At 35.8% G+C, this 14,086-nt stretch overlaps 1 protein-coding gene across 4 annotated transcripts in view; it reads right to left on the reverse strand.

The window, feature by feature from the left end:
* VGLL3 (vestigial like family member 3) overlaps positions 1-14,086 on the reverse strand; it is a 53,177-nt gene that overhangs the window by 12,721 nt on the left and 26,370 nt on the right. The window contains exon 4 of one of the 4 annotated variants that reach the window (NM_001320493.2): positions 11,213-12,374. The exons of the other annotated variants lie outside the window; for them this stretch is intronic. Within the exon in view, the coding sequence (NP_001307422.1) occupies positions 12,349-12,374 (26 nt within the window). The 3' untranslated portion in view covers positions 11,213-12,348. Of the gene's footprint in view, positions 1-11,212; positions 12,375-14,086 lie in introns of those variants that run through there. 4 annotated transcript variants of the gene reach the window in all.

Consider the following 14,086-nt stretch of genomic DNA (forward strand, 5'->3'; position numbering starts at 1 on the left):
ATAAATGATGGCATAGTAGTAGGTTACACTTTTGATGAAGACCACTTCAGTGGTATGATAGGATGTGTCATATTTAACTGATGTGTCTCTCTATATGTATCTTTAAATTAACCACCACACCCCCTGCCGGACTTCTCCAGTGTGAACTTTAAAAACATAGGGTGGTCAATTGCCTCTTGAGGCGGTTGTCAGAAATGAACGAAGAAACAAAGATTTCAATTGTTTACTCCAGAGTTTGAGTTTGAAATTCAGTTAGGACAAAAGCCTGAAAGAAACTGAGAGTCCTTAGACCCATTTCCTTACTTCAATGCCAACACCACTACTGCCTGACCACCAAAAGAAAAGGAAAAACAATATTCAGAGCCAGGATGAGAGTAAAGGAAATAAAAACATAAAAAAAAAGACACCCACCACAACAACAAAACAGAAAAACAACAGCAACAAAAAACCTTTGCATATGGGTAAGTGAGAAGTCTTGGTCAAGGAAGAGGATGAGAATATGATTTTCCTTAAAAACTTGAAGATTCTAAACAGTCTTAGTTCGTTTGGGCTGCTATACCAAAATATCATAAACTAGATAGCTTATCAATAACCAAATCTTATTTACCAGAGTTCTGAAGGCTGGGAAATCTAAGATCAAGTTTTCTGGTTCACAGAGAGTGCCTTCTACTGTGTGATCACCTGAGATCTCTCTCAGATCTCTTTTATAAGGGCATTGATTTACATTCATGAAAGCTCTGCCCTCATGACCTAATCACCTCCCAAAGGGCCAGCCTTCTAATACCAGTACCTGGGGGCTAAGATTTCAACATATGAATTTGGGAGAGATGTAGTGATTCAGATCATAGCACTGACTGTACATAAGAAGGCATTATGACTCATTTTCTAACTGAGATTCAGGGAGGCAGCAGCTTCACAGATCTACCTCTTGTAAAATGCTATAGAAATAAGAAAATAGAAATGGCAACATGGTAGGTCTGAGCATGAACAGCCTAGAGACTCCCCCCTCTTTAGTTTACCTCAAACCCTGTTTTATCCCCCCCAAAAAATCTTAAAGCTCGCCTATGTTCCCCATAATTGATATAGGAGACAGTTCAGTGAGAATTCTGGGGTCCTGTCAGTATTAGCTGTGATGTGGGTATCCCACAGCAGAAGAAATAGCATGGGCCACCCCAGATGAGCGTCTTGCAGGGATCACAAACACTGGGAACTGAATTCAAATAGGCCATGTTGAGTAGGCCATTATTAGAAAGAACATTAGAAAGAATATTGTATAGAGAATGCCTGGAGAAACAGATTAGAGGAGGAGGGTATATTGGAAACAGCAGTCCAGGATAAGAATGAAAAGACAGAACCAAAAAGCAGACAACAACTTATCAACTGGACAGTTTTTAACTTGGACGTGAATAACTTTCTAGGAACAGAGGCAACCCCAAGGAAAAAAATGAGGAAAGAATCTGAGAAGACCTTTCAACTCAAATGGGATTTTGTTTTAAACTGAGAATAACGGAGCTGCCAGTGGATTGAACTAAGAATAAACATAATTGATGAGGGTAAGTCTTCTACCATTAGATAGAAATAATAAATAAACATTGGGTAACAAAAAACGTTACACTAATATACAGCTGAGTTTTAGGTACTGTTTGTTTGTCAGAGTCATAACCCACTAAATAAACATGCTCTACTTCTGAGAAAGTATAGTCATTTAACAACACCACTGATCATGGCTCTTTTAAGTAAGTTGAATATGCTTTCAATTAATTTTATTGCGGGAGATAAAAGAGGTAACCATACAATGGGAAACATGCTGTTGATTAAAAAAAGAGAACATAAATAGGAACATAAAGCCTGAAAGTGTGTGTAGAAACTTTGAAGACCTAAAAGTAAAGATAGCATTTGTATGGGTAAGTGTAAACTTTTCATTTCATACATATTAAAAGTCAAGAAGCCATGTGGATTAGAATGCTTACTATTAGACTATAAGAACCTGGTAACATTTCTATATTTAAAAAATAGATCTCCCCTTTCATCCATCCTTTAATAAAGATAAGAAATACTTATTACAAAGTTAAATACATACAACACTGTGTCAGATGCTACATCAAAATATCCAAACTTCACCAGCAAATTGACAGCTAACACTGACACATTGACATATGATCACAAAAAGGTGCGAGAGACAGTCATACTATTTTCTATTACTTTATGAAATTATCACTGTTAATGATCATACAATTGCATTTGTTTGTCTGAGCCCTGAGGCAATCACTTTAAATACTAGTGAAGAATTTCTAAATAAGATCTGTGTAGGGGTAGGACCTTAACACTTGCAAGAGAAAAATGTAAGAGAGAAGGCTACTCAATCTGAGAACTGTGATTTCATTTCAGGTGAATATCAAGATTAATATATAGGCGCTACATTTTAAAACATTTTTAAAACTCTTAAAACATCATGGAATTCTTGCTTAAAAATCAAGTTACATAGTGTTTAGAAAGTAAAAAGCCTACATAATATCACCTATCATCAGACAATTTGCTAAGTGTACCCAATCTACATATATACACATACCACTTGCCTATTTCATCAGCAGTATTATCTTGGAAAACCATTCCAGGTCTGTATGTGTAGCTCGACCCCATCCTTTTGGAGGGCTGCACAATATTTATTCTATAGTATACTATTACCCAATTCTCTATAGATGTACATCTTTTAGATAGACACACACACACACACACACGGGTGTACAAAGTTGCTGTTACTTGTGTGAATATTTACGAGTTACATTTCTTAGAAAAATATACATGTGTATAATTGCTGAATCCAAGCATATGAACATTTACATTTACATATTTAATTGTGGTGGCTAAATGTGTTTAGGAAGTTTGTACCCATATTTATATATTTTTCCTATTTATGATCAATATTATAGATTAAAAGTATCTAGTTGTTTCAATGTTAGTTTCTTTCACTGTTAGTGAGGCTGGATATTGTCCGATTATGGCATTTATTCCTCTGTGTTTTAACTCTGGCCACATGTTTATGCTTTTTAAAAAGTAATTTTCTAGTTGATTTTTAAATGCTTTTTGTATACTAGCATTTAGTATACTTTTAGGTATACTAGCATTTCTTCCCATGTATTACAAATACTTTTGCTAGTTTGATGACTTCTCTCCATATTTAATATGCAAATTTTGAACAATAATTCTTTTTAAAGTAATCACAAATAAGGTGTATTTTCTTAAACCAGACCAAAGATTAAATTTATTATATTTTAAGTGCAATTATTCTCTTATAATTACAATTCTTGCACACTAAAATCATTACAAAAGATACCTAGCATGGCAGCATAATAATTTTCTGGCAAAGGAGGTTTTCTGTTTATAGAGGTATTTTCTCCAGGCACATTTAGAATTCACTTAAAATCTCCACGTAGTAGTATTGTCAGAAACAATGAGGTTAAAAACTGTCTGAACTTGTCAAAATGTCTTTAAGCTCAGATTCAAAATAGGGCAGAAATGTAAAACCCACTGAAGCTGATGTTACTAGAAAACCATAATCCACTATGTTATTTTAAGAAGTACAGCACCTGCTCACCTGAGGGAAACATTGCAGGTGAGAAAAGTTCAGCCACCCAGGTGTTTCTACTTGCTGGTGTTTCCCAGACCCAGACAGCAAGCCACTTTATTCTGTTTGCTCTCTCAGTACCCACCTCCCTCCAAAAACCACAAACTCTCCTGTGCACAGAATCTCTAGCCTTTGCCTTTAGCGACATCCACTTCCTCAGACATGTGCATATTAAAATGCATAGCTGGAGGGTAAATTGGCAAGTACTTAAAGCATCAGGATATAAAGTTACAAATCTGAACCAGTTGTTTAAAAACTGACCTTGTGGACATATATAAAAAACATGAATCATAGAGTTAGGTAGTTTTTTTTATCATAGTGGCAATTTACCAGTCTCAAAATTTGAATGTCAAGGTGGCCAATAACCTCTTGGGTGATAGAAGCTGGGGACTATATGGAACGATATGGAATTTAGACACTGCTTACCAATTCGGTGACTTCAATTTCAAAAGCAGATATAAAGAAACTTTGAAGCCGGAGACAAAGAATAAAGGAAAGGAAGAAGGGAGTGGGGAAAATGAAATGGAATACTCTTTGTAATTTCTTCTACAGGCTTTCTCCCAGAACTGGAGAGGAGCAAAACCAAAAAAAAAAAAGCTTGGATCACTTATTGTAACCAAAACCACAAGTTATAATAGTCTCAAGAGATTCTAACTATCCAGACATCTGTTGGATAACAAATGTAGCCAAACATGCATCTTTAAAGAGGTTTCTAGGTTATGCAGTGACAGCTTTACAGTCCAGAAAACAGATAATCCAATCAAAGAAAGAGCTAATCTGGATCCATTTCCTACCCAAAAAAAAAGTAATTAAGGACATAACACCAACATAGGAAACATGATACCTAGGAGTATGACTTATAACATTTACTACTCCAAAATTTTCAAAAGACGCTTAGAAACTGCTGAAATATACTTGCATTTTAATGCCTATTTGATATAAGTAATCAATCTCTCTATTAATGCAAGATATATTGGAAAGCATTCCATTAGAATGAGATATGTTGCATATATATCAATTCTTGCATTGACATCAGAAACTTTTCATCTCTCTCTCTCTCTCTTTTTTTTTTTTTTTTTTTTGAGACGAAGTCTCACTCTGTCACCCAGGCTGGAGGCTGGAGTGCAATGGTACCATCTCGGCTCACTGCAACCTCTGCCTCCTGGGTTCAAGCGATTCTCATGCCTCAGCCTCCCCAGTAGCTGGAATTACAGGTGTGTGCCACCCCGCCTGGCTAATTTTTTGTATTTTTAGTACAGACGGAGTTTCACCATGTTGTCCAGGCTGGTCTCAAACTCCTGACCTCAGGTGATCCACCCACCTTGGCCTCCCAAAGTGTTGGGATTACAGGTGTGAACCACCGTGCCTGGCCTCATCTCACTTTTATGTGACATGAACAGAAGCTCGCTCTCTGACATTTTCCAAAAGAGACTGTCCAATTCAAGTAAACATAAATAGGGCTTCAATGATTATGAAGATGCTAAGCATCACCTAATAGTGCTCAAGTAGACCAGGCATGAAAATAAACACTATAACACATACTTGTGTTAAAAAAATTATGAATTAAGTCCCCAGCATATCAGACTGTAACCCAAAAATAAAAAATACCTAGCATATTTTGCTTCTCATCAGTCCTTTTTGCCAAGAAATTCAGAACATGTTGCCTGCAGACAACTGTTTGTGAAACCTTATATTACTGATAAAGAGAACAAGAAAAGAATAGTTAGGCAGCCTGAAAGGGAATAAACAGTATCTGTAAATTCCTCAGGCCATATAGAATTTTTCTATATAATCTTTGCAGACTGTTCGAAAACGGATATAAAATTGTCAGGGAACAAGTTCTGAAACAGATTTCTTCATTTGAGCTGTTCCTTTAGATGCACCCCTATATGACAGATGAGAAACAGCAAAGCTGAAAGTATTATTTGCTGATAAGAACCTGACCACTGAAACAGGCTTTCCAATGCTTTGTGTCGTTCTCTATTGAGAGTCATATCAGGACAACCTGCGAGTTATGGCTTCCTTCTATAGTGAGTGAGCACATCAGTTTCTTTTGGGAAGACAAGTTTTACTTTGAAAAAGTCTCCACCTTCCAACCGCAGCTAGTTGATGACAACTCCTTTAAGAAAACTCTCAAAAGATGATGGCATTGCCTAATCTTGCTTGCAGTTTTTAAGAAAATACTTGGCCTGGCGCAGTGGCTCACGCCTGTAATCCCAGCACTTTTGGAGGCCGAGGCGGGCGGATCACGAGGTCAGGAGATCGAGATCATCCTGGCTAGCACGGTGAAACCCGGTCTTTACTAAAAATACAAAAAATTAGCCGGGCATGTTGGCGGCGCCTGTAGTCCCAGCTACTCAGGAGGCTGAGGCAGGAGAATGGCCTGAACCCGGGAAGCGGAGCTTGCAGTGAGCCGAGATCGCGCCACTGCACTCCAGCCTGGGCGACAGAGCGAGACTCCGTCCCACCGTCCCAAAAAAAAAAAAAAAAAAAAAGAAAGAAAATACTTAAGATAACGAGGGATGCTCTCCAATTTACGTAGTAATTTATATGGCAAAGGAGCTTTAAAACTCCTTCATAAAATTAATGCTAAGATTAAAAGAAACTGATTAGATTTGCAACTTTTAAGGATTAGCATTTATTATTGAAGTTTTGTTGAGCCTAATTCATAGTCTAACTTCCTTTTTTGTACTTAAAATTTTTTTTGTTTTATATGAGTGCCAGGGATGAATAAATATCTCAACAATACGTAAGCATAATGGGATAGGTTTTTATTTTTAGTACCCTCTCATTCCACGTGGCAGGGTATTCTAGATAGGGAAAATGTTCAAATGTATAAAAATGTCTTGAAGATGTTAACCCCGCAATATTTTTATCTTCTTTTCCATTGTCTGCCCAATCAATACAAAAGCACCTAGTTTTCACTGCACGGCCAATATCAGCAAACACTACTATCAGGAAACTTAACTGTAACAAGTATCACAGCTAATCTTCAAGAACAGGAAATAATTAAGTCAGACACAGACAAAATAAAAATGACAGATGCATTCACAGCTTGCACCTCAATTCTTCAGGATGCCTCAAACCTCCAATGTGAATTAATTTTTTGTCGTAATGAACCATATCTCAGATTCAGAACCATGAGAGTTTTCATTCTGTATCATGTATCACCGTCTAGAAAACACAAGCTCATTGGGTTCTCCCAGCTGTGTCAGGGGAGGAAGTGTCCTCTCCATTTTGCATCTAAGGAAGAGGAGGAGCTGAGGGGTTACAGGCTTACTCAACGTAATGCAGCTAATAAGTGGTGATATGTATGCAGAATCTGTGTTTCAGTCCCATTTTTCCCTACATATATCTGGACAGAATTTCTACATCTCTGCAAATATTAAAGATGCCTACATTGACCAGGATTTTTATGAGCCCCTAAGTGAATTTGGGAGGGGGTAATAAATTACTAATAAAATTAATATATCTCTTTTCTTTTTTTCCCTGTCTGCCTCTCTCTCTCTTTCAATGCATACATACAAATATGTACATAAATAAACATGTATATATATTCTTCTTCTAAAGTCCTTCTCCTTCTTTCCTCCTCAAACTCCTATTAGTGACCTCAATACCTGCAGCCCCAAAAGAAAACACATTTTGACAAACTAGTCTTCTCTGCTTTCATTGAATGATATGTACGTGCACATACGATACAGACAAATATGCACACTTTTTTGTTATTATTTTCCAAAAAAGACATATATGTGCTTTTCTTGAGCTTTTCTTTTTCAGTCAGCAATACCATATGGAACACAATTCACTCATAGATCCCACCTCTTGATGGTAATCGCTCAATTCCATTTTTTTTTTGTTACTGCAAACATTGTCACAATAAACATTTTTGTACACATATCATATGCTGCTGCTTCTATTTATGGGAGGTAGACTCATAGGAGTAAGAATGCTCAGCCAAAGTTTATGAAAATTATTACTGTTACTACATTTTCCAGTCTACTTCTTTAAAATACTAAAACTCTAATTTTCTACCAGCAATATATGAGAAATGGCAGTTTCTCTTACCAAGACGTCTTTTACAATGATTCAAATTTACACCACGTAACTATTTGTATTATTATGCAAGCACATCCTAAAACATAACACCTTTACAAAGCTCCTGCACCTGTTCCACCAAGTAGGAGAAGAATCTGAGGCAAATCCCCATACTTTAGGCATTGTGACATTATGGCACCATTTTATGGAGGAAAGCCCACAGAAGCCCATGGGCATGATAGCTACATGGATCTCAGAGAGCAGGGGAATTTCATTAAGGTCCTGCAGCATCCAGGCTTGAATACTTGAAACTGACAGCAATGCTCTGGAATGCATTTCTCCCCTCTTATTCATCATCCAGTTACTTTTCATGCAGATCTCACAGGCTGGGATCTCCTGGCATTTTGCATGCATCTCAAAGATGGTTTCCATTACCCTTCTGGTCATGAAATTGTCATTCTGGACACGTGCCCTACACAACTAACACCAATCAAGAGTTTGTAAATATTTTAACATAACTCTGATGTTTTTTTCCTCAGTGGAAAATAGGCTTATGACATATGCCAGAGAAAAAGAAAAAGTTTTGTAGAAAGTGTGAAGCAATCGGGTGTTGATTAGAAAAATTTTTATTGTTACCAAATCATCATAAACTCAATAATGACAACAAAGTCCAGAAAAAGTATTTCCATTATTCATAAACATTCTGCCTGGTATTTTTAAAAACAATCTGCACCTATTGCTTTATGATGTTCTAACTATCCTAGCTGAGATAATGCCCTCAAGGTAGGTACACAAAATTCTATAAATCTTTCTTGAATCATAATAATGAGATGGAAAAAAATCATATAGTCCTAGGGCTGGCTTCCATATAGAACTGTCATTTTACCTGCCTACATACTGAGATCAAATGATTATAAGTAAACTTTTATGCCTATTATATTTTTAATACCATTTTTAAACATCTTCATAACTTCCTAATCATTTATACAGATTACTAATATTGTCAGGAAAGGCTTCAATGAATCCCTAATGCCATAGCCCTCAGAATTCAGATGGCTAATGTATGCTCCCTGAGAAGAAGTGAAGTAGAAGGAAGTAAACTATTTTTAGTTGAGCATCTACAATATATGATATTTTGATGCCCTCTCATCTTTAGGGTGAAAAATATCACAGTGCTTTAATATTTTAACATAAATCAAACTATTCTGTTTATTATTGAGGCTAATGATTCATCTCCATTTCATTGTAAAGCCTGGAATTGGAGCATTATTATATTTAGTAAATATTCAAGGGTCTTGAGTTGTAAATCTAGGTTTCCTTTAGTCCTTTTTGTAAATGTAACTGGGTATTGTAGATGTTACTGGGTATAAAGCTCCATAATTTTAATAACATTAGTACCCCAATGAAATTAACATATCGTAACTAACTTTTAAAGTGTGTTATTTAGCAAGGTTATTTGTAGAACTTTCCTGCAACTAGTGATTTTTACCCAGGTGGGTTAGCACCAGACCACCTAAAAGAAATCATAGGTCTTGAGATGTGAGTTAAGTTTTGGCAAATTTACAGGTGGAATGGAAAAGTAAGAATTAAATAGATCTATCTCTCTTTCATGGAGAGAAACTGCCTCTCCATTTGCTTCTCTAGTATATTCGCTATTCTCACCCGGTTTTTTGTATTGCCTGTACCTAACAAAACCAAGATATTTATGTTTTTAATTAATAGATTTCATTATAAAGCATCATTGTAGTGCCAACCGTCATAATCTTAAACACTAAGGTAGTTTAATTAGTATGTTCCAAAGTGAATAGTATATAACAATTTTGAGAACTTAAACCCATTAAAATATAATTTTTGTCACTTGTGAATAATGTCCCTTTCACAGAATATTCAGATTAAATCAGAATGTTGTTTTTAAATATAGTTTACTGGCCTTAAACCATAAATAATTCGGAATACCACTTAATGTGATTCTGTTTTTATGATATCATCAGGCACAAGCTGTCCATGAAGAGAAAAGCATAGATTAGGACATTTATCTACTCCTGACTTCCTCTGTAGTACCCAGCTCTTCCTATCTAATATCAAAATGGAGACCCTCAAACAATTTTTTTCAGTTTTCTTAACAGATAAACTTCATTCACAGATTAGAGAGTAAAGTTTATTGCTATGAAAGTCTGTTCAGAGAGAATACTAGAAACAACTTCCTGTGCTTATGGCAAACTTCTCAGTCTGTACTTTGCAAGTAATTTGTGGACTAGTAGCTATTGTAGTTTTGTTCCCTCTGTCTGGCAAATAACCATTGTCCCCGTCTGTGACACACAGTCTTGATTTCACTTGTATCTAAAGGTATCTTGCTAAGTAAGAGATGAACCAGATAGTGTTTAATATCTGGATATAATCACAGTTTGGGGCCAGCTCATATAATGACTCACTCATAAAATCCACTATTAGGTGGCTACTTACGCAAATTAATGCCTAGTTTTTTTGAGAGGCAAAAGGTACATCAACATATGTTTACTCCCTCTAAGCTCTAGATTTCATGGACCTGCGAAATATTAGGTTATGCAAAAGTAATTGTGATATATATATATATATATATATATATATATATATGCATATGATGTTGTTTTGTTTGTTTAATATTAGGTTACCTAAATATATTGTAGTAAAAAGTATATGAATACCTCAATTCTAAGTTGTTTATGTATACTGTATATTGCATTGTTGTGACATTCATCAAAGTAAAAATAGATATTTATAACAAAATTGTAGCTAAAATAACATGAGGGATCCCAAGAAAAATAAATCTGTGGATCTACAGATGAATACAATCTCATGCCATGAGCAGCTTGTGTTTATAAAGAAGTCACACCACAAAGCATGACTACTTTTGTTTTTGGTACATTTAAATAAAGTGGATGAAGTGGAAATTATGAAAGTCAAGTTTAAATTTCAGTAAAAAGCCCTTATTAACAAATCTTCACTTGAAAAATTAATTTAAACTTGGCTGGAATGTACAAGATTGTATGTCTTACATTAGGTAAATTATTGGCAACAACAGGAAGTAAGAATGACAACATTTCACTAAAATGCCCGGAATGATTATGACCACTAAAAGAGGACTACTATGTCAGAATTTACTTAATGTTATCACTAAAAAATCTGAGGAAGATAAGAGGAGACATATTCTTGCATTCACACGTGAATGCCTGGTAATATGTTGTACACGATCACAAATATTTCCACATTTAACTCTCTCCTTCCTTATACACAAAGGGGCCCAGTATAATACTCTGAGATAGCTGAAATCAGTCCTCCACATCCTGTGACCCTCCCTTATTCATTGTACTATTCTAGGTGTTATCTCTGGCCCCAACTACCCTTGTTAACCTAGGTTACACGCAGCTTAATGTAAGGTGAAAGTCATTCACAAAAGTTGAAAACTATGGCTTCTATTATGCAGAAGTGACAAAGCTAAATGAGAAGTTAATAAGTACACCCTCAAAAAATGTGTTCATCAGAAAAGCAGAGTGAAACAATCTCCTGCTAAACACAATTTAAAATGCTTTTTTACTGAAGAATATATAAAACATTTTATATGCTATAGGGAACTGTGATCTCTAAGAGGTATATGGTAGGCAATGTAAATAAATTCATTTGATAATAGATCTTTTCTTTTTTCAATTAAGCCCTTATTATCACATTCTGAGTATTTTTCCTATGGAACCCATGAAACTCAGTTTAAAGACTGATAAAGGAAAGGGAAAAAGCCTAATGTGAGATTTGTGATAACAGCCTCTTGGTAAAGATGAGCATTTTTCACGTGGAGGGCAAATACAAATGACTTATGATCATACCATACTGATCATTTCAAGGTACCTGTATGTAATACCTGTTCAACAGAGGGAGCAAAAAGTAAGAGTGAGCTCGCATGACAGCAAAGCAACACCAAGACAGAGGTTAGAGGAATAAGGAGCCCTGGGTGCAAAATATGGGGTGGCATACACTTGCACAGCCCTCACAGTATGGATCCTTTTAAATTTTGTGCCAGAGGCACCTCACTGTCCTCACCACCACTCAGCCCTTCGGAAAAAATGGACCACCTTACTTCATTCCTATGGCAGTTTTGCCTACCAAACCTCAAACTCTACTATAATATGTTGTAATGAATCTTAACAATTTAAATACTAAAAAAAAATTTAAAAAACAAAAATTTAAATTTAAATATTTTAAAAATTGCATATATATGCTCTTTGAAAAAAATTCAAAAAATATAGAAATACATAAAATAAAAAGTGAGGTTCTCTTAACCCCACAGTTCTACTCCTAGATATATTTCCAAGAGAATTAAACACACATTTACTTAAAAATTTGTACATGAGGGCTGGACACAGTGGCTCACACCTGTAATCCCAGCACCTTGGGAGTCCGAGGCAGGTGGATCACGAGGTCAGGAGTTTGAGACCAGCCTGGCCAAAATAGGGAAGCCAGCCTTCACTATTCAAAATAGGGAAGCCAGCCTTCACTATTCAAAATAGGGAAGCCAGCCTTCACTATTCAAAATAGTGACTATCTACTAAAAATACAAAAAATTAGCCGGGCGTGGTGGCAGATGCCTGTAATTCCAGCTACTCAGGTGGCTGAGGCAGGACAATTGGTTGAACTCGGGAGGCAGAGGTTGCAGTGAGTCAAGATCTCGCCATTGCACTCCAGCCTGGGAGATAAGAGTGAAACTCTGTCTCAAAACAAAACAAAACAAAACCTTGCACATGAGTGTTCATCACAGTATTATTCCTATTAGCCGAAAAGTAGAAACAAATCAAATGTCCATATTCATTTGCTTATGCATCAAATGCATAAACAAAATGTGGTATTATCCACCCAATGAAATCGTACCTAGCCCCAAAAAAGAATGACTTTATGATAGATGCTACAACACGCATGAAACTTGAAAACATTACACAAAGTGAAAAAAGACACAAAAAGCCACATATCATATAATTCCATTTGTATGAAATTTCCAAAATAAGAAAATCCACAGAAGTAGAAAGTAGACTAATATTTGCCAGGCATAGCGGATAGGGAAAATTGGGAGTTATTCCTAAGAGGAATAGGAGTTCTTGTTACAGTGATGGAATGTTCTCTAATTAGAAGGTTGCACAATATTGTGAATATATTATAAGACCAATCAGTTATACTTATTAAACTGGTGAAGCATATGCTATTGTGAAATATATCTAAATAATAAATTTTTAGAAGTTAAATAAAGTGTAAGTCTGTCCATCTTCTCTTACATAGCTAGAATTTACAGAGTACATGTTATATGCCTGGTATATTTGTAAATGCTTTACTGCATGAACTAATTTAATCTCAAAACAATCCTATTAGGCATTGTTTACAGATAAAGAAGTTGAAGTAGCAGGAGGGTAAAGTCATTGGTCCAAAGTCTGCTTCTTTTGTAAGTGGCAGAGCTGGGCTGACAAAATCAGGCAGTCTGGCTTCAAAGCTCATGCCGTCCACTAACTCTCCAGGAGTAACTACAATTAAAAGTTGGGATATACACTTCAAGATAATTTTCATTGAGGGAGTGCATGCACCCACCTGCATGAATGTGTGTAGAAGATAAAAATTATACACAGGGATGATACTGAGGGTCAGCAACTACCCACAGGCCAAATTCAGCATCACCTGTTTATGTATACCCATGAATTAAGAATGCAGGAGTGAATTTTTCAGTGGTTGGAAGAAAAGAAGAAAAAAAGCAGAGTAGCATTTGATGACACGTGAGAAATATATAAAACTCAAATTTCAGCACCAACCAATAAAGTTTTATTGGAACACAACTATCTTCATATAAGTTTTGTCTATAGCTGTTTCTGTACCACATGAGCAGAGTAGAATTAGGTAGTGGTAACAGAGACCTGTATGGCATGGCAAAGCATAAAATATTTTTATCTGTTTCTTTACAGAAAAATTTTGCTAACCCCTGGATTATGCCATACATGATATTATAAAACTTTCGTTTGTCACTACACATTATATGACGTTCAACCTTCTAGATTTCAAGGTTTTCTTAATTTCTTCAAGTAGATACAGTGAAAAAATGAACCTAAAATTATTAAATTATTTGCAATGAATTGAATGTTTATGACTCCCCTCCAAATAAATTCAGATGTTGAAATCCTAACCCCCAAGGTGATGGTATAAGAAAGCGAGCCTTAGAAGGTAATTAGGTTATGAGGGTGGAGGCCTCATGAATGGCATTAGTGCCCTTATAAAAGAGATCCTGAAGATTACTTTGCCCGTTTCACCACATGAAGTTACAATGAAAAGATGGGCATCTAGAAAACAGGCCCTTACCAGACATCAAATCTTTTAGAACCTTGATCTTGGATTTCCCAGCCTTCAAAACTATGACAGTAAATT

Source organism: Homo sapiens, chromosome 3 (genome assembly GCF_000001405.40).
Source record: "Homo sapiens chromosome 3, GRCh38.p14 Primary Assembly".
NCBI lineage: Eukaryota > Metazoa > Chordata > Mammalia > Primates > Hominidae > Homo > Homo sapiens.